The 22384-nt window shown below is 42.3% G+C and overlaps 1 long non-coding RNA gene across 1 annotated transcript in view, besides 7 other annotated features; it reads left to right on the plus strand.

Moving 5' to 3' along the window:
* Window positions 2623-3124: an enhancer, noted in NCBI's record as "NANOG hESC enhancer chr16:65260913-65261414 (GRCh37/hg19 assembly coordinates)". NCBI's record gives its function as "activates a minimal SCP1, AML or CMV promoter by ChIP-STARR-seq in primed H9 embryonic stem cells {active_cell/tissue: H9 hESC(primed)}" and the evidence as "EXISTENCE:reporter gene assay evidence [ECO:0000049][PMID:30033119]".
* Window positions 5266-5766: an enhancer, noted in NCBI's record as "OCT4-NANOG-H3K27ac hESC enhancer chr16:65263556-65264056 (GRCh37/hg19 assembly coordinates)". NCBI's record gives its function as "activates a minimal SCP1, AML or CMV promoter by ChIP-STARR-seq in naive and primed H9 embryonic stem cells {active_cell/tissue: H9 hESC(naive and primed)}" and the evidence as "EXISTENCE:reporter gene assay evidence [ECO:0000049][PMID:30033119]".
* Window positions 5767-6267: an enhancer, noted in NCBI's record as "OCT4-NANOG-H3K27ac hESC enhancer chr16:65264057-65264557 (GRCh37/hg19 assembly coordinates)". NCBI's record gives its function as "activates a minimal SCP1, AML or CMV promoter by ChIP-STARR-seq in primed H9 embryonic stem cells {active_cell/tissue: H9 hESC(primed)}" and the evidence as "EXISTENCE:reporter gene assay evidence [ECO:0000049][PMID:30033119]".
* LOC124903780 (uncharacterized) overlaps window positions 7657-22384 on the plus strand; it is a 161687-nt gene continuing 146959 nt past the window's right edge. The window contains exon 1 of the long non-coding RNA XR_007065224.1: window positions 7657-8793. This is a non-coding gene — a long non-coding RNA (uncharacterized LOC124903780). The remainder of the gene's footprint in view (window positions 8794-22384) is intronic.
* Window positions 10416-10944: an enhancer, noted in NCBI's record as "OCT4-NANOG-H3K27ac hESC enhancer chr16:65268706-65269234 (GRCh37/hg19 assembly coordinates)". NCBI's record gives its function as "activates a minimal SCP1, AML or CMV promoter by ChIP-STARR-seq in naive and primed H9 embryonic stem cells {active_cell/tissue: H9 hESC(naive and primed)}" and the evidence as "EXISTENCE:reporter gene assay evidence [ECO:0000049][PMID:30033119]".
* Window positions 10945-11473: an enhancer, noted in NCBI's record as "OCT4-NANOG-H3K27ac hESC enhancer chr16:65269235-65269763 (GRCh37/hg19 assembly coordinates)". NCBI's record gives its function as "activates a minimal SCP1, AML or CMV promoter by ChIP-STARR-seq in naive H9 embryonic stem cells {active_cell/tissue: H9 hESC(naive)}" and the evidence as "EXISTENCE:reporter gene assay evidence [ECO:0000049][PMID:30033119]".
* Window positions 11039-11333: a silencer, noted in NCBI's record as "tiled region #682; HepG2 Repressive non-DNase unmatched - State 24:Quies, and K562 Repressive non-DNase unmatched - State 24:Quies". NCBI's record gives its function as "represses a minimal TATA promoter and a strong SV40 promoter by Sharpr-MPRA in HepG2 and K562 cells {active_cell/tissue: HepG2 | K562}" and the evidence as "EXISTENCE:reporter gene assay evidence [ECO:0000049][PMID:27701403]".
* Window positions 11474-12002: an enhancer, noted in NCBI's record as "OCT4-NANOG-H3K27ac hESC enhancer chr16:65269764-65270292 (GRCh37/hg19 assembly coordinates)". NCBI's record gives its function as "activates a minimal SCP1, AML or CMV promoter by ChIP-STARR-seq in primed H9 embryonic stem cells {active_cell/tissue: H9 hESC(primed)}" and the evidence as "EXISTENCE:reporter gene assay evidence [ECO:0000049][PMID:30033119]".

A 22384-nucleotide genomic window follows, 5' to 3' on the forward strand; every position in this document is an offset into this window, starting at 1 on the left:
TGCAATATATGCAATATATTGCATATCTAATATATGCAGTATTATTACTATTGCATATTATTACTATTGTATATATTAGAGATGTCATTATTATTAGCCCCGTGGCCTCTGGCTAGTTACTTATCCTTTTTGAACTTCAGTCTCCTTTTGACCCAAGACTTCTTGTCAGCACTGGTTTCTGCAGTGACTGTGGGTTCATCTGGGGTCTCCCTCTGTCTCTGGTGTCTCTCAGTGTGTTATTTCTCTCCCTGTGGCTGCCTGTTCCTCCTTGCAGCTTCCTGTGTCTCTTTATCTGGGTACCTTTCCTTCTTTGTCCCTTGCTCAGCCTTCTTGTCTGTACCTCAGTCTCTGTGTTTGTGACTCTGTAATTGTGTTTCTCCGTTACTGACTCTGTTTCTCTGTCCCTCTCTGAGGTGTAGTCTTTTTTCTTTGTTTTTTCTGTGTCATCTCATGGGCATCTCATAATCTTTTGTGATGAGCATTAGGATACCCGTTTCACAGATGAAAGCTCTGAGACTCAGATAATTGAGGTAAATAGCCCAAGACCACATTAACAAATAAATGGCAGATCAAAAACTCACACCATGGCTTTGTAATTCCAAAGCCTGTGTTCTCAATCAAAATGGTTGTTGTCTCTCATTGTTTTTGCCAGAAATCACAAACATCTCTCAAAGATTTGAGCTCAATGAAGGCAAGGGTGCATTTTCATGACTAGTATGTTTCCCCCCAAGGAATGTGAGTTCCATAAGAGCAGGTAGCTTTGTCTCCAGCACCAATAACAATGTTTGGCAGTTGTAAAGGCTCAATACATAGGTGCTGAATAAATGAATCTCTGATCCCAGCAGCTGTTGTCTTTCTTGGCACATGATTGGTGCCTCCTTGCCTGATAGCCTGCCACCCTTCAGCAGAACTGTACTGCTCTGAAGCTCAGTGGTCCTCAGTGTGCTGACTTCTGTAATATTTTTGCTGCTCGAAGAAAACAAAGAATTTCAAAGTCCAGCACATTTGCCCTAAGGATGCAAATCAAATGCCTTTATGGAACAATGGCCAAAAACAGGGGCTCTTATTAAAACCCTCACTTGGGAAACTCATGATTTGGAAAAAAAAAAAGAAAGAAAGAAAAAAATGGCCCCTTGCTTGGTCATCTATTCCTTTGGGCTGCTCAGACTTTGGTCTCATTTTTAACTTTCAAATTGTAAAAAAGGACTTTGGTTCACGTTCACCACTACACAAAGGAGGCAGTGACACAGTCAGTTGTTGCTTTCATTAGCAGCCTGCTCTGATCGGGCTCGCTTCACACCCTGGCCTTGTACTGACTTTAATTTGCAGGGCAAAAGCAAATCTAATTGAATCACATGGGGGCTTTTGCAAGCTGGCACCTAAGAACTTTATGGTGAATTTTGGTTCGTATTAAATAAGGAACATGAGCCCGGGAATAAAGACAGGGTAAAGAAGTAAACTTTTTGAGCCACAAGTGTTTTCTCCTTAGTGTCTAATTACGAGAGCAATCTATGCTCTTTCTGGATGCCAGATTCTAATTGTTCTCTATTTATAATAAAATATAAATTCAGTTACGGCTAGAGTTATTGATTAATATTTCCACAAAATAATGGATCTTGGATATATGCCCTTCTAGATAAGAGATCCCTATATACATGTCATTATTACTTCCTCCTCCAGCTGTTTTTGCCATGTTGGTTAATGGTGAATCAGCCAATGGCTTGATCCAGCCAGAACCTTGGAGTCATTCTTGACTCTTCCCTTTCTCATACATTGCCCAATGTAGAAGGCCATGAATCGTATCCATTTCCCACTTGAGTTTCCTTGGATGCCATTTATTTCTCTCCTTTCTTACCACTTTAGCCCTATCCTGTCTCTCAGGGAAAACTGACATAGCCTCCTGCCTGGGCATCTATTGTATTACTCTCTAATAAAGATCCATTGAGAACAGGGTTCTTCCAACAAACCAGACATCTTGATAGTGTGATGGGAGCAATGGTAACTACCAGTTAAGTAGCATTTACCCTATGCTGGGCCATTCATTTAGTGCACTGCATGCATTACCTCATTAAAGAGTTGCTTGGTTTTACAGATAAGAGAACTAAAACCTCGGAGAGGTTGTATAAATGCCCTAACATCAATGAGCTGGTACGCAGTAGTAGCAAGATTCAGCCTGGTCGGGCATCCTGTACCCTTGGCCACTCTCTTATTCTGCCTCATCAAGCCTTTAAGTTAAATCAGCCTTGTCTAGAAGCCCAGTTCCAAAATGAACTGACCCTAGGAACCAATGTGAGCAATTTTAGATTCTGAGCCTTAGTTTTCTCATTTATAAAATGAGCATTATAATATTTATTTTGGGAATTATTTGCTAGGATTAAATGAGCTAATGGCTATAAAATCCATAGCAATGGATCATGCATGTGCATAAAAAAAAACAAACAAAAAAATGGAAATTCTTTACTTCTCCCCTAAACATAAGATTTGAATGCAGCTTCCTCAGAAGAGGAAAGATCATTTCTTGGTATATGTATGTATTACACATTTTCTCATACATACGAGAAGGTTCTAGGGTGGAATACTGTATTCGTCAAAGGAAATTGGGATTCAAAACAACATTGCTTGACTTTTTGCTCTCTCCCCAAACCCCCCTGAACCCCTTCATAAAATATGGCTTTTCTACATTAAAAAGAAAAATCACCAACAAAAGCAATCCATGAAAAAATATCTCTATCATCTTTCTGATCATTGCATTTATCCTAATGCCTTTGCTCAAATTTTTCTGCCTACTGCCTACAATGCAAAGTAACTAGCCCTCTTTGTTCTAACACTGCATCTAGATGTTGGGGTTTCTTATGGGCAATTTGAAGATGGCAAATGATGATGGAATGTTCAATCACACACTGAACTGCCCTCCTGGAGTGAAATACACCACACAATGCTTAACTGTTTCCCCGCTGGTGTTTACTGGGGAAGCACTATTATCTCAGGTATGGAACAAGCAACAGAAGGCAGGCTGCAAAGACTAAGGTTTCCTGCTGCCTCAGGGAGCAGTGGGATCAGTTTACCTTTTGAAGGATTGTTTTGTGCATCAATTAACAGGGTCATCATAAACCCCTTCAACACAGAGCAATCAGCCAGCTGTTGTAGTGGAAAGAAAGGTGAGTATAATACAGAGTCCTGGCTCACCTGGACTAGGCCCAGCTTGCCCTTCAGAATATTGGAATCAAGTGTTGGGGGAAAATTGGAGGGAGGTTCAGATATGCACCCTGTTGCCTTGCAGCATCCTTGGCAAGGGAGTGTAATTTCAGGCACCCTGAATACCACCAGCAGCCAAGAGGCTTTGAACCTTTAACTGTGACCTTTCTGGCCTTGTATCTATTTCCCAAAAATCTCCCATCTCTTCATTTGTGAACCCCTCATTCTGTTACTCCTCCCTGAAGATGACCTTCAGGGGTACCTTTAAAGTTGAAAGGGCTGTTTCAACATTTGCTGTACACATGTGTTCACTTGTTATTCATTTGTTTGTTGATTCATTTATTTACAGCAAAGTTTTACTCTTGAAGTGTGTTGTCCAGACTGGGGAAGGGCCATCACCAGGGCAGAACCCATTAGAGCTTCTAATGTTGAAGATCACCTGTGAATAGTCAGATAGCAACAAAGGGGACACAATTTTTTAATAATCTCAGTCCTCTTAGGAATGAGCCATCAGTTCAGCGCCACCCTTCCCCAAGAGGTTGATGGGCCCAGGAAAGAGCGAGGAGCCAGGACTCCTATATGTGATGAACACTGTCCTTGGTGCCACACACATAATGATGAGTCCATCAATATCCCATCTTCAAACAGGTCAATCTAACAAACACTACTCAGAGCTGTCTGGAGGGAGGCAAAAGAGACTAGAACCTTGAGGACACTCACCACATTTACCTTTCCATATCAAATCAACATTTGAACATGGAAGGAGAGCAAAGGACATCCCAGAATTTGAGAGATGAGGTCATGGGAAGTAGCAAAGACACAGCATGAAGGAATTGAGTAGGGGCCAAGCAGGATGCTTCGGTCCGGAGCAGTTGGTGATTCCCCTTAACGTGAGAAAGATAAGGCATCCAGGTGTAGGGAAATCTTGGAAAATCAGGATGGGTGAGAGAACATGAACACAGAACACAAGGAGACCTCTTGAAACTGGAAAAAGGAAGTCAGAAAAGGACCTGATGGAGGAAAATCAGTTTCCAAAAAGGAGTTCATTCTCTGCTAGTAAACATGACATTCTCTTCATCTGAATCTGAATAAAGTGGAGAGGAAATAAGTGAACTCCTCCATTGCTTTATTTAGAGTTGAACTGGGTTTAATATATGAAGCAGTAGAGAGGAGAGTAATCACCATTACTATTCAAAGCAACCTCATTCATAGTGGCCTGTGATGCATGGTTTTCTCAGGCTTTATCAGGTCATTTTGCCATGCAGGGGGCTCCAGTGCAGGGTCTGTAGCAAGTGGCAAGGCAGGTAATAGTGCCATAATTTCAGACAATTGGGAATCAGACCCCAGGGAGAAAGTTGGCTTTGATATTCAGATCCAGATACCTAGGCTGTCTGTAAGAGAATAAGATTTAGTAGAGGTGTAAATAGAAATAGAAATGCTAAAGAGGAAAACTGAGGCAGAAGGCCAGAAATGGAGTCAGCTCTGAGGAGCAAGGGGAAGAACGAGAGTGGATTTGATGGCCAGAGTTTTGCCAGCCTTGGAAGGCTGGGGCCTATGGCAGTAAGACACTTACTCTTGTGGCTGTGACAGACAAAATGTCTGGTCAGGATTATCTCAGGGGGAGAGCAGAATTGAGGCTTCAGGTCAACATCATCAGTAGTGGCAGCTGAGGGGATTTAGCATGGGCATAGTAGGGGGGCAGAACAGCCTAAGAGGCTAAAATCATAACTCCCTGGCATTCCAATGTTGCAATAAATGAAAGGATTGCAGAGGGCCAGAGAGATGACTGTGGGAGAAAGAATAAATACAGGCTTTGAAGTCCATCAGACCTGGATTTTATTTCTATCTCTGATAATGATGATGACGATGGTGATGACGATGATGGTAGTGATACTGATGATGATGATGTTGATGAGTACATTGAGGGTAAGTGAGATAATGAATAACACATCCTTTGAGCATAGTGAGCAATCAACCTAGGTCAGTTCTTATTGCTAAGAAGACATGGAATTTTCCCTGGATCAACCACATTCCTATCTCTTCGCATGACAGCTGTTGCCTGACACTTTGGTTCTAAGTCCCTACTTCCTCCAGAATAACCACTACCACCACCAGCACAATAACAGTAATTAAAAATAAATAAATAAATAAATAAATAAACTAACACATATAGGGTAATTATTATATGTACATCATTCCAAGTGTTTTTAACAATATTGTTTTCATGCTCATCCATGTGAAGAGACCACCAAACAGGCTTTGTGTGAGCAACATGGCTGTTTATTTCACCTGGGTGCAGGCGGGCTGAGTCCGAAAAGAGAGTCAGCAAAGGGAGATAAGGGTGGGGCCGTTTTATAGGATTTGGGTAGGTAAAGGAAAATTACAGTCAAAGGGGGTTTGTTCTCTGGCGGGCAGGAGTGGGGGGTCGCAAGGTGCTCAGTGGGGGTGCTTTTTGAGCCAGGATGAGCCAGGTAAAGGACTTTCACAAGGTAACCTCATCACTTAAAGCAAGGACCGGCCATTTACACTTCTTTTGTGGTGGAATGTCATCAGTTAAGGCGGGGCAGGGCATATTCACTTCTTTTGTGATTCTTCAGTTACTTCAGGCCATCTGGGCATATACCTGCAAGTCACAGGGGATGCGATGGCTTGGCTTGGGCTCAGAGGCCTGACATTCCTGCCTTCTTATATTAATAAGAAAAATAAAACAAAATGGTGTTGAAGTGTTGGGGCGGCGAAAATTTTTGGAGGGTGACATGGAGAGAGAATGGGCGATGTTTCTCAGGGCTGCTTCAAGCGGGATTAGGGGTGGCGTGGGAACCTAGAGTGGGAGAGATTAAGCTGAAGGGAGGTCTTGTGGTAAGGGGTGATATTGTGGGGATGTTAGAAGAAACATTTGTCGTATAGAATGATTGGTGATGGCCTGGATACGGTTTTGGATGAATTGAGAAACGAAATGGAATAAGAGAAGGAGAAAAATAGGTATAAAAGGTTTAAGAATTGGGACGACTCAGGATATCTGATTAGAGAGTGCCTCAGGAGATTCAGCATAGTCCTGCCAGCAAAGATTATTTATTTACTTCAAGAGTTTAGAGTGGCAGTTTGGGGATAGCACCAGGAGATATCAGCTGTGATGGCTTGGAGAAACAGTGTAAACCGGCAGTGTAAACAAGAGCAGGGCATGTATGAGTAGTTGAGAACGATGAATAGGAGTATGACTAGACAAAAGATAGTAGGGATGACAAGTTTTTTTGGGGGCACAGTCTAAGTTGCTCTGGTGTCGAATGAGACTGGGGCCTAATAAAAAGGAGCGTCTATACAGGAGCTTAAATGGGCTCCTGTACACCTTGTAGCATTCTGAGGACAGGCCTGAATTCTGAGAAGCAAAAGTGGTAAAAGTATTGTCCAGTCCTTTTTAAGTTGGTGGCTGAGCTTGGTGAGGTGTGTTTTTAAAAGACCTTTAGTCCACTCTACTTTTCTTGAAGGCGGAGGACCATAAGGGATATAAAGGTTTCACTGAATACTAAGAGCCTGAAAAACTGCTTGGCTGATTTGACTAATAAAGGCTCATCTGTTATCAGACTGTATAGAGGTGGGAAGGCTAAACTGAGGAATTATGTCTGACAGAAGGGAAGAAATGACTGCGGTGGCCTTCTCAGACCCTGTAGGAAAGGCCTTTACTTATTCAGTGAAAGTGTCTATTTAGACTAACAGGTATTTTAGTTTCCTGACTCGGGCATGTTGATTAAAACTAATTTGCCAGTCCTGGGTGGGGGCAAATCCTTGAGCTTGATGTGTAGGGAAGGGAGGGGGCCTGAATAATCCCTGAGGAGTAGTAGAATAGCAGATGGAACACTGAGAAGTTATTTCCTTGAGGATAGATTTCCACGATGGAAAGGAAATGAGAGGTTCTGAGAGGCGGGCTAGTGGCTTGTACTATAGCATAACCTGCCTTTGCTGGTGTGTGGCGATTAGGCCTGGTGGAACCTCCATCAATAAATCAAGCGTGATCAGGGTGAGGAACAGGAAAGAAGGAAATCTGGGGAAATGGGATGAATGTCAGGTGGATCAGACAGATACAGTCATGGGGGTCAGGTGTGGTATCAGGAATAATGTGGGAGGCTGGATTGAAGTCTGGGCCAGGAACAATGGTAATTGTGGGAGACTCAACAAAGAGTGAGTACAGCTGAAGGAGCCAGGAAGCAGAAAGTATATGCGTCAGGTATGAGGAAGAAAATAGATTTTGGAAGTTATGAGAAATGTAGCGAGTGAGTTGAGCATAGTTTGTGATTTTTAGGGCCTCTAACAGTATTAAAGCAGTGGCAGCCGCTGCAGGCAGACATGAGGGCTAGGCTAAAACAGTAAGGTCAAGTTGTTTGGACAGAAAGGCTACAGGGTGTGGTCCTGGCTCTTGTGTAAGAGTTCTGACCACACTAACCATGTTTAGGAAGGAAAGGAGTTGTTGTTTTGTAGAAGGTGCTGGGGTTTGAGAGATCAGTCGGACACTATTGGCAGGGAGAGCACGTGTGTTTTTATGAGAATTATGCCGAGATAGGTAACAGATGAGGAAGAAATTTGGGCTTGATGGAAGTAATGGGGGCTGTCTGTGAAGCTTTGCAGCAGTACAGCCTAGGTAATTTGCTGAGCTTGATGGGTGTCAGGGTCAGTCCAAGTGAAAGTGGAGAGAGGCTGGGATGAAGGGTGCAAAGGAATAGTAAAGAAAGCATGTTTGACATCTAGAACAGAATAATGGGTTATAGAGGCAGGTATTGAGGATAGGAGAGGATATGGGTTTGGCACCATAGGGTGGATAGGCAAAACAATTTGGTTGATAAGGCACAGATCCGGAACTAACTTGTAAGGCTTGTCTGGTTTTAGGACAGGTAAAATGGGAGAATTGTAAGGAGAGTTTATAGGCTTTAAAAGGCCATGCTGTAGCAGGAGAGTGATAACAGGCTTTAATCTTTTTAAAGCGTGCTGTGGGATGGGATATTGGCGTTGAGTGGGGTAAGGGTGATTAGGTTTTAATGAGATGGTAAGGGGTGCATGATCAGTCGCCAAGGAGGGAGTAGAGGTATCTTATACTTGTGGGTTAAGGTGGGGGGATACAAGAGGAGGACGCAAAGGAGGCTTTGGATTGGGAAGAAGGGCAGCAATGAGATATAGCTGTAGTCCAGGAATAGTCAGGGAAGCAGATAATTTAGTTAAAGTGTCTCAGCCTAATAAGGGAACTGGGCAGGTGGGGATAACTAAAAAGGAGTGCTTAAAAGAGTATTTTCTGAGTTGGCACTAGAGTTGGGGAGTTTTAAGAGGTTTAGAAGCCTGGCCGTCAATACCCACAACAGTTATGGAGGCAAGGGAAACAGGCCCTTGAAAAGAAGGTAATGTGGAGTGGGTAGCCTCCATATTGATTAAGAAGGGGACGGGCTTACCTTTCACTGTGAGAGTTACCCAAAGCTCGGCGTTCGTGATGGTCTAGGGGGCTTCCGAGGCGATCGGGCAGTGTCAGTCTTCAGCCGCTAAGCCGAGAAGATCTGGGAAGGAGTCAGTCAGAGAGCCTTGGGCCAGAGTTCCAGGGGCTCTGGGAGTGGCTGCCAGGTGAGTTGAACAGTCCGATTTTCAGTGGGGTCCCACACAGATGGGACGCGGCTTAGGAGGAATCCCGGGCAGCGGGCATTCCTTGGCCCAGTGGCCAGATTTCCGGCACGTGTAGCAAGCTCCTGTGGGAGGAGGTTCTGGAGGAACACCTGGCCGCTGCGGTTCAGGCGTTTGGAAGTTCTCGTGTGCTGGAGATGTGGCTGGGGTTTGTCTCACAGTGAAGGTAAGGAATTGCAACTTTTTTCTATTATTCTACACCTTGAAGGCGAGGTTAATTAAATCCTGTTGTGGGGTTTGAGGGCTGGAATTTAATTTTTGGAGTTTTATTTAATGTCGGGAGCAGATTGGGTAATAAAATGTATTTTAAGAATAAGACGGCCTTTTGACGTTTTAGGGTCTAGGGCTGTAAAGTGTCTCAGGGTTGCTACCAAACAAGTTATGAACTGGGCTGGATTTTTATATTTGATGAAAAAGAACCTAAACGCTTCTGATTTGGGATAAAGAAAAAGGAGCATTAACCTTGACTATGCCTTTGGCGCCAGCCACCGTTTTAAAAGTAAATTGCTGGGCAGGTGGGGGAGGGCTAGTCACGGGCCGAAACTGTAAGCCGGACCAGGTGTGAGGGGAGGTGATACAAAGATTATAGGGTGGAGGAGCGGAGGCTGAGGAAGAATTGGGACCCAGCTCGGCCTGGCGAGGAGCAGCCTGGGGAGGAAGGGAGAGGTCAGATGGGTCTGTAGAAAAGGAAGATTAGAAAGCCTCAGCGACGCTTGGAGTTGGTACTGAGGGGACAGGCGGGAGGGAAAGAAGGAAGATTTGGGACGAGTTGCACTGGGCACAGAGACTAGGAAGGGACTGATGTGTAAAAGAATGCTTGGATGTCAGGCACCTCAGACCGTTTGCCTATTTTACAAGAATTATTTAGATTTTGCAGGATGGAAAAATTCAAAGTGCCATTTTCTGGCTATTTGGAACTACTGTCGAGTTTGTATTGGGGTCAAGTGGCATTGCAGAAGAAAAGGCATTTAGGTTTTAGGTCAGGTGTGAGTTGAAGAGGTTTTAAGTTTTTGAAAACACAGGCTAAGGAAGAAGGAGGAATGGAAGGTGGAAGCTTACCCATAGCGAAGGAGGCAAGTCCAGAGAAAAGAGTAGAGACACGGAGAAGGGGTGGAGGGTTCCTGCCCTCCAGAAAAGCAGAGAAGGGGTTGGGGCACGGAAATAAGGGATTGGGGCACAGAGATAAGAGGTCAGGGTACAGAAATAAGGGATTGGGGCACAGAGATAAGAGGTTGGGGTGCAGAAATAAACGACTGGGGGTTCTTGCCTCCTAGGAAAGCGGGACTTGCCACTAAGGGTGAAGGAGAAGGGGTTGAGGGGTACTTGCCCCTGCCCCAGGAAAGCGGGACTTGCCGCTAAGGGTGAAGGACCAAGGCAGGCGTCCCTGCGTGGTCTGACATCTTTGAAATGTGGGTGAATAATCAGAGAAGTGTCCCAGCAATGATTAAACACCAAGGGAAGGCTGCCTTCCCAGTCCATGACCGGCGCCGGAGTTTTGGGTCCACGGATAAAACGTGTCTCCTTTGTCTCTCCAAGAAAATGAAAGGAATTGAAATTAAGAGAAGGGAGAGATTGAAGAGTGGAAAGGAGAAAGTGGTTGAGGGACAGTGAGAGAGGTTGGAGAAGAGAGTAAGAAGAGGCCGCTTACCTGATTACCAAATTTCATGCGCGTCTGTGTGAAGAGACCACCAAACAGGCTTTGTGTGAGCAACATGGCTGTTTATTTCACCTGGGTGCAGGCGGGCTGAGTCCGAAAAGAGAGTCAGCAAAGGGAGATAAGGGTGGGGCCGTTTTATAGGATTTGGGAAGGTAATGGAAAATTACAGTCAAAGGGGCTTTGTTCTCTGGCGGGCAGGAGTGGGGGTCGAAAGGTGCTCAGTGGGGGTGCTTTTTGAGCCAGGATGAGCCAGGAAAAGGACTTTCACAAGGTAATGTCATCACTTGAAGCAAGGACCGGCCATTTACACTTCTTTTGTGGTGGAATGTCATCAGTTAAGGTGGGGCAGGGCATATTCACTTCTTTTGTGATTCTTCAGTTACTTCAGGCCATCTGGGCGTATACGTGCAAGTCACAGGGGATGCGATGGCTTGGCTTGGGCTCAGAGGCCGACATTTGTCTCATTAAATTCTCAGAAAAAATCCTATGTGGTTGGTACCATTATTACTATCTCTGTATTACAGGTTTGGAAATTTAAAGATACAGAGAGTCACATTGACTTGTCTAAAGCCACAAATCCAGCTCCTCACAATGTCTAAGGCTTTGTTTCAGAAAGTTTTGTCCTCTAGTCCTTCATCATATTATTTGAAGCCCCGACCAGCAACTTCGCGTGGCCCAGCGAGCTGCAGGACCCACTTTGATGGCTCTGTTCTCAGAACAGGGTGGGGAGCACTGGTGGAGAATGCGGCATAAATCTCCACCTCATAACCCAAGAGCCTCTACTCCAAGGCCATAACTCCACATCCATCAGGCTGCGGCCTGGGAGTGTTATTAGAGAAAGCACTGGGGATAATTCTTTCCAGGAAAGGGCTTTTTGCTCTGTGATTGATTAAAGACACCCCCTCTCCAAGCTGCCTCTTGCTGAGGAGCCAGTGGCTCATTTTCACAGCAGTGAGAGAACATTTCTTTGTCCTCCAACAACAGGGGTTCCAGTGAAGACTTTTGATTTCCATATCCCCCTGTAAGAGGAAGGCCCAGAAGCAAAATTCTCGTTAAATATTTATTGCCTCCTCCCCACCCCTTTCTCAGTGTGTCAGGCCCCAACAAACCCCCTTAATCACAGGGCAATCAAGCCCTGAAGAGCTGGGCTTGCTGGCTCAGGAGGGGTGTTGGGCACCCAGCAGAGAGGGGCTGAAGCCTGGGTTTCCTCTAGAGTGGGATGGAATTGCACAGTAGCCACGTGGCCATGAATGGGACTTGGAATTGAGCAAATGGGAAGTTTTGGAGAACAAATTTACTCTCCTATAGCCATCACTCACCAACACCATGTTAATGCACACACCATCTCTTCCTGCCCTCTCAAATGCTTCCCTTCCAGTCAGTTGCTATTGATTTTTTTCTCTGGTTCTGCTTGATCACATCTCTTAAGGAGTTATCCAGGTTCTAGTTCTTGAATTTCCCAGATGGTCCCACCAGCTGGGAACTCACTGTCCCCCCTACACCTAGTACATTGTGACAAGGACAGAAACAATATCCACAGATTTCAACACAAAAATGTGTTGGAAGCTGCTCTCTACAGGCATGGAATTGGTGTGCCCATTCTGCCCACACTGGACATCCAAGATCACTGCTCTTGATCTTGGAGATTCACACTTGATTTTAGCTTCTTTTGGGTGTGATAATCCATAATTAGTTGGGTCTTTGGCTTATTTGATTCTGACTTCACAACTGGGCCTCACCTCTGGATCCTTTTTATCTCCCACCATTGCAGAGGAGAGGTTTTCTCTGCCAGTATAAGCCTCATAGAACTACTCAGTAGGGCTGTCTCTGAAAAGATGTGACAAAAATGAGCCCAAACCCAATGTTGGGATCTGGGAAAAGACCAATTTTTGCTGAAGGGGCTGCAGGCCTGAAGCCATATCTTCAAGGTTGAGTGGGTGGTGACTAGACCAGGAAGCCTCCGTCCCTTGATTGAGACCTTTGGCACCCAGCAGAGGCTTTCTTTTTTCTTTTTTTTTTTTTTTTATTATTATACTTTAAGTTTTAGGGTACATGTGCACATTGTGCAGGTTAGTTACATATGTATACATGTGCCATGCTGGTGCGCTGCACCCACTAACTCGTCATCTAGCATTAGGTATATCTCCCAATGCTATCCCTCCCCCCTCCCCCCACCCCACAACAGTCCCCAGAGTGTGATATTCCCCTTCCTGTGTCCATGTGATCTCATTGTTCAATTCCCACCTATGAGTGAGAATATGCCGTGTTTGGTTTTTTGTTCTTGCGATAGTTTACTGAGAATGATGCTTTCCAATTTCATCCATGTCCCTACAAAGGACATGAACTCATCATTTTTTATGGCTGCATAGTATTCCATGGTGTATATGTGCCACATTTTCTTAATCCAGTCTATCATTGTTGGGCATTTGGGTTGGTTCCAAGTCTTTGCTATTGTGAATAATGCCGCAATAAACATACGTGTGCATGTGTCTTCATAGCAGCATGATTTATAGTCCTTTGGGTATATACCCAGTAATGGGATGGCTGGGTCCAATGGTATTTCTAGTTCTAGATCCCTGAGGAATCGCCACACTGACTTCCACAATGGTTGAACTAGTTTACAGTCCCACCAACAGTGTAAAATGTTCCTATTTCTCCACATCCTCTCCAGCACCTGTTGTTTCCTGACTTTTTAATGATTGCCATTCTAACTGGTGTGAGATGGTGTCTCATTGTGGTTTTGTTTTGCATTTCTCTGATGGCCAGTGATGATGAGCATTTTTTCATGTGTTTTTTGGCTGCATAAATGTCTTCTTTTGAGAAGTGTCTGTTCATGTCCTTCGCCCACTTTTTGGTGGGGTTGTTTGTTTTTTTCTTGTAAATCTGTTTGAGTTCATTGTAGATTCTGGATATTAGCCCTTTGTCAGATGAGTAGGTTGCGAAAATTTTCTCCCATTTTGTAGGTTGCCTGTTCACTCTGATGGTAGTTTCTTTTGCTGTGCAGAAGCTCTTTAGTTGAATTAGATCCCATTTGTCAATTTTGGCTTTTGTTGCCATTGCTTTTGGTGTTTTAGACATGAAGTCCTTGCCCATGCCTATGTCCTGAATGGTAATGCCTAGGTTTTCTTCTAGGGTTTTTATGGTTTTAGGTCTAACGTTTAAGTCTTTAATCCATCTTGAATTGATTTTTGTATAAGGTGTAAGGAAGGGATCCAGTTTTAGCTTTCTACATATGGCTAGCCAGTTTTCCCAACACCATTTATTAAATAGGGAATCCTTTCCCCATTGCTTGTTTTTCTCAGGTTTGTCAAAGATCAGATAGTTGTAGATATGCGGCGTTATTTCTGAGGGCTCTGTTCTGTTCCATTGATCTATATCTCTGTTTTGGTACCAGTACCATGCTGTTTTGGTTACTGTAGCCTTGTAGTATAGTTTGAAGTCAGGTAGTGTGATGCCTCCAGCTTTGTTCTTTAGGCTTAGGATTGACTTGGCGATGCGGGCTCTTTTTTTGTTCCATATGAACTTTAAAGTAGTTTTTTCCAATTCTGTGAAGAAAGGCATTGGTAGCTTGATGGGGATGGCATTGAATCTGTACATTACCTTGGGCAGTATGGCCATTTTCAAGATATTGATTCTTCCTACCCATGAGCATGGAATGTTCTTCCATTTGTTTGTATCCTCTTTTATTTCCTTGAGCAGTGGTTTGTAGTTCTCCTTGAAGAGGTCCTTCATATCCCTTGTAAGTTGGATTCCTAGGTATTTTATTCTCTTTGAAGCAATTGCGAATGGGAGTTCACTCATGATTTGGCTCCCTGTTTGTCTGTTGTTGGTGTATAAGAATGCTTGTGATTTTTGTACATTGATTTTGTATCCTGAGACTTTGCTGAAGTTGCTTATCAGCTTAAGGAGATTTTGGGCTGAGACAATGGGGTTTTCTAGATATACAATCATGTCATCTGCAAACAGGGACAATTTGACTTCCTCTTTTCCTAATTGAATACCCTTTATTTCCTTCTCCTGCCTAATTGCCCTGGCCAGAACTTCCAACACTGTGTTGAATAGGAGTGGTGAGAGAGAGCATCCCTGTCTTGTGCCAGTTTTCAAAGGGAATGCTTCCAGTTTTTGCCCATTCAGTATGATATTGGCTGTGGGTTTGTCATAGATAGCTCTTATTACTTTGAAATACGTCCCATCAATACCTAATTTATTGAGAGTTTTTAGCATGAAGGGTTGTTGAATTTTGTCAAAGGCTTTTTCTGCATCTATTGAGATAATCATGTGGTTTTTGTCTTTGGCTCTGTTTATATGCTGGATTACATTTATTGATTTGTGTATATTGAACCAGCCTTGCATCCCAGGGATGAAGCCCACTTGATCATGGTGGATAAGCTTTTTGATGTGCTGCTGGATTCGTTTTGCCAGTATTTTATTGAGGATTTTTGCACCAATGTTCATCGAGGATATTGGTCTAAAATTCTCTGTTTTGGTTGTGTCTCTGCCTGGCTTTGGTATCAGAATGATGCTGGCCTCATAAAATGAGTTAGGGAGGATTCCCTCTTTTTCTATTGATTGGAATAGTTTCAGAAGGAATGGTACCAGTTCCTCCTTGTACCTCTGGTAGAATTCAGCTGTGAATCCATCTGGTCCTGGACTCTTTTTGGTTGGTAAACTATTGATTATTGCCACAATTTCAGCTCCTGTTATTGGTCTATTCAGAGATTCAACTTCTTCTTGGTTTAGTCTTGGGAGAGTGTATGTGTCGAGAAATTTATCCATTTCTGCTAGATTTTCTAGTTTATTTGCATAGAGGTGTTTGTAGTATTCTCTAATTGTAGTTTGTATTTCTGTGGGATCGGTGGTGATATCCCCTTTATCATTTTTTATTGTGTCTATTTGATTCTTCTCTCTTTTTTTCTTTATTAGTCTTGCTAGCGGTCTATCAATTTTGTTGATCCTTTCAAAAAACCAGCTCCTGGATTCATTAATTTTTTGAAGGGTTTTTTGTGTCTCTATTTCCTTCAGTTCTGCTCTGATTTTAGTTATTTCTTGCCTTCTGCTAGCTTTTGAATGTGTTTGCTCTTGCTTTTCTAGTTCTTTTAATTGTGATGTTAGGTTGTCAATTTTGGATCTTTCCTGCTTTCTCTTGTGGGCATTTAGTGCTATAAATTTCCCTCTACACACCCAGCAGAGGATTTCAAAAGTCATTCTAATCTGTTTCTCCCTGACATCCGTGTTTAGGTTTCTTATCAACACTCCTGCAAAGAGTATCTGGAAGGAGCTGCTTAAAGTTGTGAAAACCATGCTCATAGCAATTGTCAGAGGTGATTGAAGGGGTTAAGAGGAAAGAAGAGGCTCAGGCACCAGTCTATTAGTTTCCCTGGAACTCAGGGCTACTGGAGCCCCAGTAATTTGAGAATCAGTTCTCCAGAAAGGCATCGCTAGGCAAAGTTACTTTAGTGTTAAATAAATAGAATTTGCCTGTTCAAATCATCACCTGCAACTCCGCTCACTGTATGTATGTGTTTTTAACCAATCTCAAACATAACTAGGCAAATAAAGGAAGAACCATAGTTACAGCATTTAAGATGTATGACCAGAATTTGCAACCCAGGCATTTAAGGCAGCAGCAAGAGAGAATGGAGAATTTTAGTCAGGAACAGCAGCGGAGACTATCCCAAAAGGGGCTCTTTAGTGTGGGTGAGCACTAGCTTCAAGCACTAGCTGTGCTATATACCAGTCTGATGAATTACAGCAGACTAGTTATGTAGGCTGGCAAAAGTCTCCCCTAGGGGTTGGTTAATGAGAATCCTGTTGGGCTGCTGGGGCTACCAAATGGTGTTCACACAGACTTAAGAATAGAGGGTTGGAAATTGGTTCCAATTTTTAATAGCTAAATCTTACTTCAATGGGTTGTGATCAGCGGTGATCATATCCTCAAACCAATAAACCAAGAGGTTGTGATAGTTAACTGTGTTTCTGCATCTTCAGAACTCAATGGTGATCTTTTTACCAATATCACTAAGGATGAAGCAGTGGTAGCCTTTCCAGTTCCCTAAAAAGACTGTAAGACAAAAAGATGAACTCACCCTAGCTCCACCCCTGACTTACTGTGTGCCTTTAAGGAACTCACTTTGCTATTCTGAAACCTGAGTTTCTACCTCTGGAAAATGAGAAGGCTATGTTAATGAGTTATCTCAGCCCTTCCAACTCTAACATTCTATCAGTTTGCAACAATGTAAGCTGTGCTTTGTTGATAAGTGCAGTCAGGTTTCCTGTCCTTGGAACATCTACCAATGAGTTATTCTGAGTTACATAACTAATGAGGTTTTCCAGATTACATTGAAAGTTCAAATATCCATTGTCAGCACTCAGTCATGACACCAAAAACTGGGAGGCTACTGAGACTTGAATCCTGTGCTAGAAGCTACTCCAAAAGAACCAGGTTGAAGGGTGTCCCAGAGATGGACCTGGAGTTCTCCAGGAACTGACTCCATTTATAACTGAGCCAACTGCCTAAAAATGCCTGGCTCTTGCCAAAGATATAAGAAACAATGGGCTTTTCCTTTACAAATGTTTCTTCAACTCAAAATATAGGACCCAAAAGTAACCACTCTGAATTGGGCTCTGAGCAATTGAAAGAAATAATATTCTTTTCTTTTTCTTTTTTTAAGTCAGGGTCTCACTCTGCCACCCAGACAGTGGCGGGATCACAGCTCACTCAACCTCCATCTCCCGGGATCAATCAATCCTCCTGCCTCAGCCTCCCAAGTAGCTGGGACTACAAGTACCCACCACCACGCCTGGCTAATTTTTTTTTTTTTTGTATTTTTAGTAGATATGGGGTTTCACCATGTTGCCCAGGGTGGTCTTGAACTCCTGGGCTCAAATGATCTGCGCACTTCAGTCTCCCAAAATGCTGGGATTAGAGGTGTGAGCCATTGCACCCAGGATTCTATTTTTTGTTTTGTTTTAAAGAAAACTTTCTGATTATAAAGGGACACTGAAAAAAACCCTCAAATATGGTATTCCCAATTATTTTCTAGATGTGCAGAGTCTTCAGCAGTGCATTGGAGATAACGCAGAAATAACTAGAAAAGACTTGTACAACTATCGATCTTTCTGTGAAATGGAAGGGAAAGTAGGTATTTGATAAGAGCCTTATACTGAAAGGGAGATTTTGCATCTTAGTGCCTTTTCTAAGTTACCTTTGGTTAAGTCAATGTCCCTATCTGGCCTGCAAATCCCAGATGTGAAAAAAAAAAAAATTGAAATTCAATTCAATGTGTCTTTTTTTTTTTTTTTTGACAAAGTCTCACTTCATCACCCAGGCTAGAGTGCAGTGGCACAATCTGGCTCACTGCAATCTCCATCTCCTGGGTTCAAGCGATTCATTTGCCTGCCTCAGCCTCTCAAGTAGCTGGGATTACAGGGGTGCACCACCACGCCCAGCTAAACTTTTTTTTTGTATTTTTAGTAGAGATGGGGTTTCATCATGTTGGCCAGGCTGGTCTCGAACTCTTGACCTCAAGTAATCTGCCTGCTTTGGCCTCCCAAAGTCCTGTGATTACAGGCGTTAGCCACTGCAACCTGCCCAATGTGTCTTAACAACCTTATTTCCTTTATGTATCTTAGATTATTTAGGGCTCTTTTGACGATGAGTGACAGAAATCCCAACCCAAAATGCTTTAAGAGAAACATAAATCATAAACTCTTCAGTGAACTGAGGAGTCCAGGCATAGATCTAGGGAATGTAGATTCAGGCATAGGTGATCCTGGGATCAAAGATGATGTCATCAGAGGCCAGGGACTTACACCCATCTGTTAGTCTTTCCTTGGGGTGTATAGTTTTCTGTTCTAAATCCCATAGGATGGGCAGATAAGCACACAAGGTTCTGAGCTTTCATCTATGAAAAAAAGGTTTCTCACTCTCAACAGTTGGAAACATACTCTGCAGGCATGAATCTCATTGTCCTGAATTGGGTCATGTGGTCAGTCTCATCCAATCACTGGGTATAGATAAATGGAAATCACCTTAGGCCAATCAGTGTCCTCCCCTGGAGGAGTGGTGAACTCCCTTCAAACCAATGGGCTGAGTGTGGGGAATGACTATTTCCCAAAGAAATTTCTGGGCACTTTTTTTTATCAGAAGAAAAGTGAATCGTAGTCAGAAGAAACAACAAAGGTTTAACCACTGAAATTCCTGGGAATCTGAAGAAAGTGTTCATCTTCCCAGGCAATAAACAAATGTACTAACAAAAAAACAAAATCAAAAACAAAGGTTACATAAGTAATCAAAAAATTAAGAGACGCCATAAAACTTGCCCATGGATCCAGGTTACTTTTAGAAGATACTTCCTTTAGGAATTGTTCTCAAATCATGCTTGTCCTGCTGAGAACTCACCTGGCTGGAAAAGGCAAATTCTCATGTTCTGCTTGAGCCAAGGCCAGGAAGGAGCCCCTCACATAAACCCATCTAACTGAGGTGCCCTCCAGTCTAGGTTTTCACATATTCCACAGGCATTTCCGCACTTTCTGGCATGCATAAAAATAGCTACAGCCCTTTTGGAAGACAATTTCACAATATGTATCAATAGCATTAAACTACCAAAGCCCTTTAACTCAGAAATTCCACTTTGGGGAATGTAGCCTAAGAAAAATCACCAAACATACAGAACAGCTTTATGCATAAATATGTTAATTGTCCCGTTGGTATAATGAAAATGTGAATGTTCATCAATAGCCAATGGTTAGGTAAATTGTGGAGCACACATTTGTTGAGCTGTAATACAATCATCAAGCACTCTGTTTTAAATAAAGAATGTGACCCAACACAGGGAATATTAGCATTTTAATGTTGAAAGACAAAATCCAGATATGAGGTTAGATAAACAATTTATGCAATTTTGTATGCATATAGGATTGTGCAATCTAATGATTTATATAGAGGTATTAAAATATTTATTAAAAATTATGGAATTAAGCTGCTCTTGGGCTCCAGTAGTGAGTTCATGTTTCTTTTCCATCTCTATTTTTTGATTCTTTTGTAAGCATAATACACTTCATAATGAAAAAAGCCAACTCTCTTGAAATTAACAAATAAACAATAAATAAATGAGATGGTTATAGTTGGTAAAATGTTCTCTCTCAAATAACATATGGGAAAGGGAACACAAATGGGACGAAATAAGGTAAAGAAAATCTTTCATTGAGTTTTTCTTCATTGAGTAAAGGCAAAGATCTATCATCCTTGACACTTTCCCAACATGTTTCCGTGTTTGCTTGAACAAACGTAACCTAACTCTAACCCTAACCCTAACCCAACCTAACCCTAACTCTAACTATGTGTGAAATTAATGAATTAAGTGCTTGTGATACTAGCAAGTTACTGGGTTGAGGTAGCCATTGGAGAATGAAATGAAATCAGGAGGATTTGAAAATTGTACCTCAATGGAAGAGCTTTGTTCTTCGAAATTCTTGATGTTGGCTTTCTGGAAGATGCTGCCTTTGCACACATTGCTCTGGGTTTAGAGGATTCAGAATATAAGGCTAAAAGGGGACTTGCAGGACATGTTTTCCAGCAAGTTTTATCCATCCACTGTGAGTTCATCACACACACTTTACTATAGACAACACCTAACTTAGCAAATTGAAGAGTATTCAGGGTGACCCTTAGGTACTCAGAAACTTAAATAGTATCACTGGAATTTCTTTTTAGGGTGACCAACCATCCCTATTTGCTGGGACTGAGGGGTTTGCCAGGACATAGGATTTTCAGTGCTGGAACTGGGACTGTTGGTTGGTCTTCCAACCTGTCAAATCCATCATCTGGTGCTTCACACTTTACATATGTAGCATGTTCCTATCCATCCACACCTCCCCATCGGCCCCATCACCATCTTAGTCCTTCGCCACAATGCTAGTTTTGGAAAGCATGTCTGATTATGTCTATTCTCTGATTCAAATCCTTGAAAAACTTACTACTTGTAGAAAAGAGACACATCAATTACATGGCACTGTGTGGCCATTCCCCTGCCTGCCCTAGGTCTCCTCTCTCACCATCCTTCTCTTAGTCATTCCCCACACCCCCTTGGCTTCCTTTTGTCCTTCGTATTTACCCTGTGATCATTCATTTTATGTGTCAACTTGGCTAAGCCATGGTACTTAGATAATTGGTTAAATACCAATCTTGATGTTGCTGCAAAAGTATTTTTAGATGAGATTAACATTTAAATAAATTGACCTTTGAATAAAGCAGATTACCCTAATGTGGTTGGATCTTATCCAAACAGTTGAAGGCTTTTATAAATAAGAGACCTGAGTCCTCTAAAGAAGAGGGAATTCTGCCTCCAGACTGCCTTTGGACTCAAACTACAACATCAACTCTTTCCCGTGTCTCCAGCCTGCCAGGCTACCTTGCAGATTTTTGGACTTGACATCTCATACAATTGTATGAGCCAATTCCTTAAAGTAAAAATCTATCTCACACATCATATTGGTTCTGCTTCTTTGAGGAATTCTAATTAATACTTGCCCATATCCCAGAAAGTGGTTTTCCTATTATGGTAGTTATTCCTGACCTCCCTGACCAACTAAAATCTTCATGCTATACTCTGTCAAAATACCTTTATAACCCAGGCATAGAAATAGTACATACATTTATACAATTGTTGACAGGTGTCTGTTTCTCTGCTAGAAGAAGATGTTTTTGATTTACTATAGTAGGTGCTTATTAAATATTTACCAAATGAATAAATGCACTCTGAATGAGCTACAATGTGTATCTTGGGTCAATAGACACTGAAAAACACTGATTTATTCCACCCCCTTTATTTTATGGATGGGAAACTGAGGCCCATAAACTCAAGCATGTGCTGGGACCACATCAATTGGTTTTGCAATTATATCCAATTATTACTTTTGTGTTTAGAATTATTTTTGAAGAATACACAGTACCTTAAATAATCAGTAGTTGTCAATCTTAACTGCCAAACAATGTGAAAAATATAATTATCCAAACTCATGCAGAACCACTGTCATATCTTCATTCTCTCTGCCAGCGGAAAAATATTAGAGTGTGATCTACAAAGGGAAAGAGAAAAGGAGACTGATTTGTAACTTTTTCCTAACCTAAATCCTTAGAATACATATGAGTTTAAAAATCTGTGCGACTGTCCCTTTGCTTGCGTTTGAGAAATGAGTCCAGAAGTCCATTGACCACTTACCCATGATATATACTATTCATGTAGGCATTAAAACAATAATTACAGGGTATCTACTATATGGCAGGCACTTTACTAGGTACCACGAGGGAAAGGGCAGAAATGAATTAGGTGAGTACCGCCTTCAAATTGCTTATAATCTCTTAAAAATGATAATATGTTCCCAAGGCAACATAGAGTAGCACATTACAATTAAGCTTCCAACTTTTGTATAGAAGAGAAAATTCACTTCCTGCAGGATGTTTTGAAAAGGCATGATGCAGGATGAGGTTTTGGAATGAGGCTTTGAAGGATGAGAGGGATTTTGAAATGTAGACCTACAGAAAAGATCATTTAAGGTTGAAATACCAAGCAAAACAGCAAACACAAAAGCCTGAAGGCTAGAAAAAAACACTAGATCTGATTCGATTTTGTTTTGTCGCCTAGAGTATAGGTGAATTTTTATCTTTACTAATTTGTTCATATTTTCCATTCATCATTTACCTATTCATTCATTCAAAAAAATGTCTATTGAGTGCTCCCTCTGTGACAGTCCCCAATTTAGGTCCTAGTTACAGACAGAGGAAATCACAATTATTTTGGTCCCACTTTTGGGAGGTTTTCAGTCTAGTGCATGAGATGGACTTCAGTCAGAAACTTACTCTCTCGGTTATATGAT

Source organism: Homo sapiens, chromosome 16 (genome assembly GCF_000001405.40).
Source record: "Homo sapiens chromosome 16, GRCh38.p14 Primary Assembly".
NCBI lineage: Eukaryota > Metazoa > Chordata > Mammalia > Primates > Hominidae > Homo > Homo sapiens.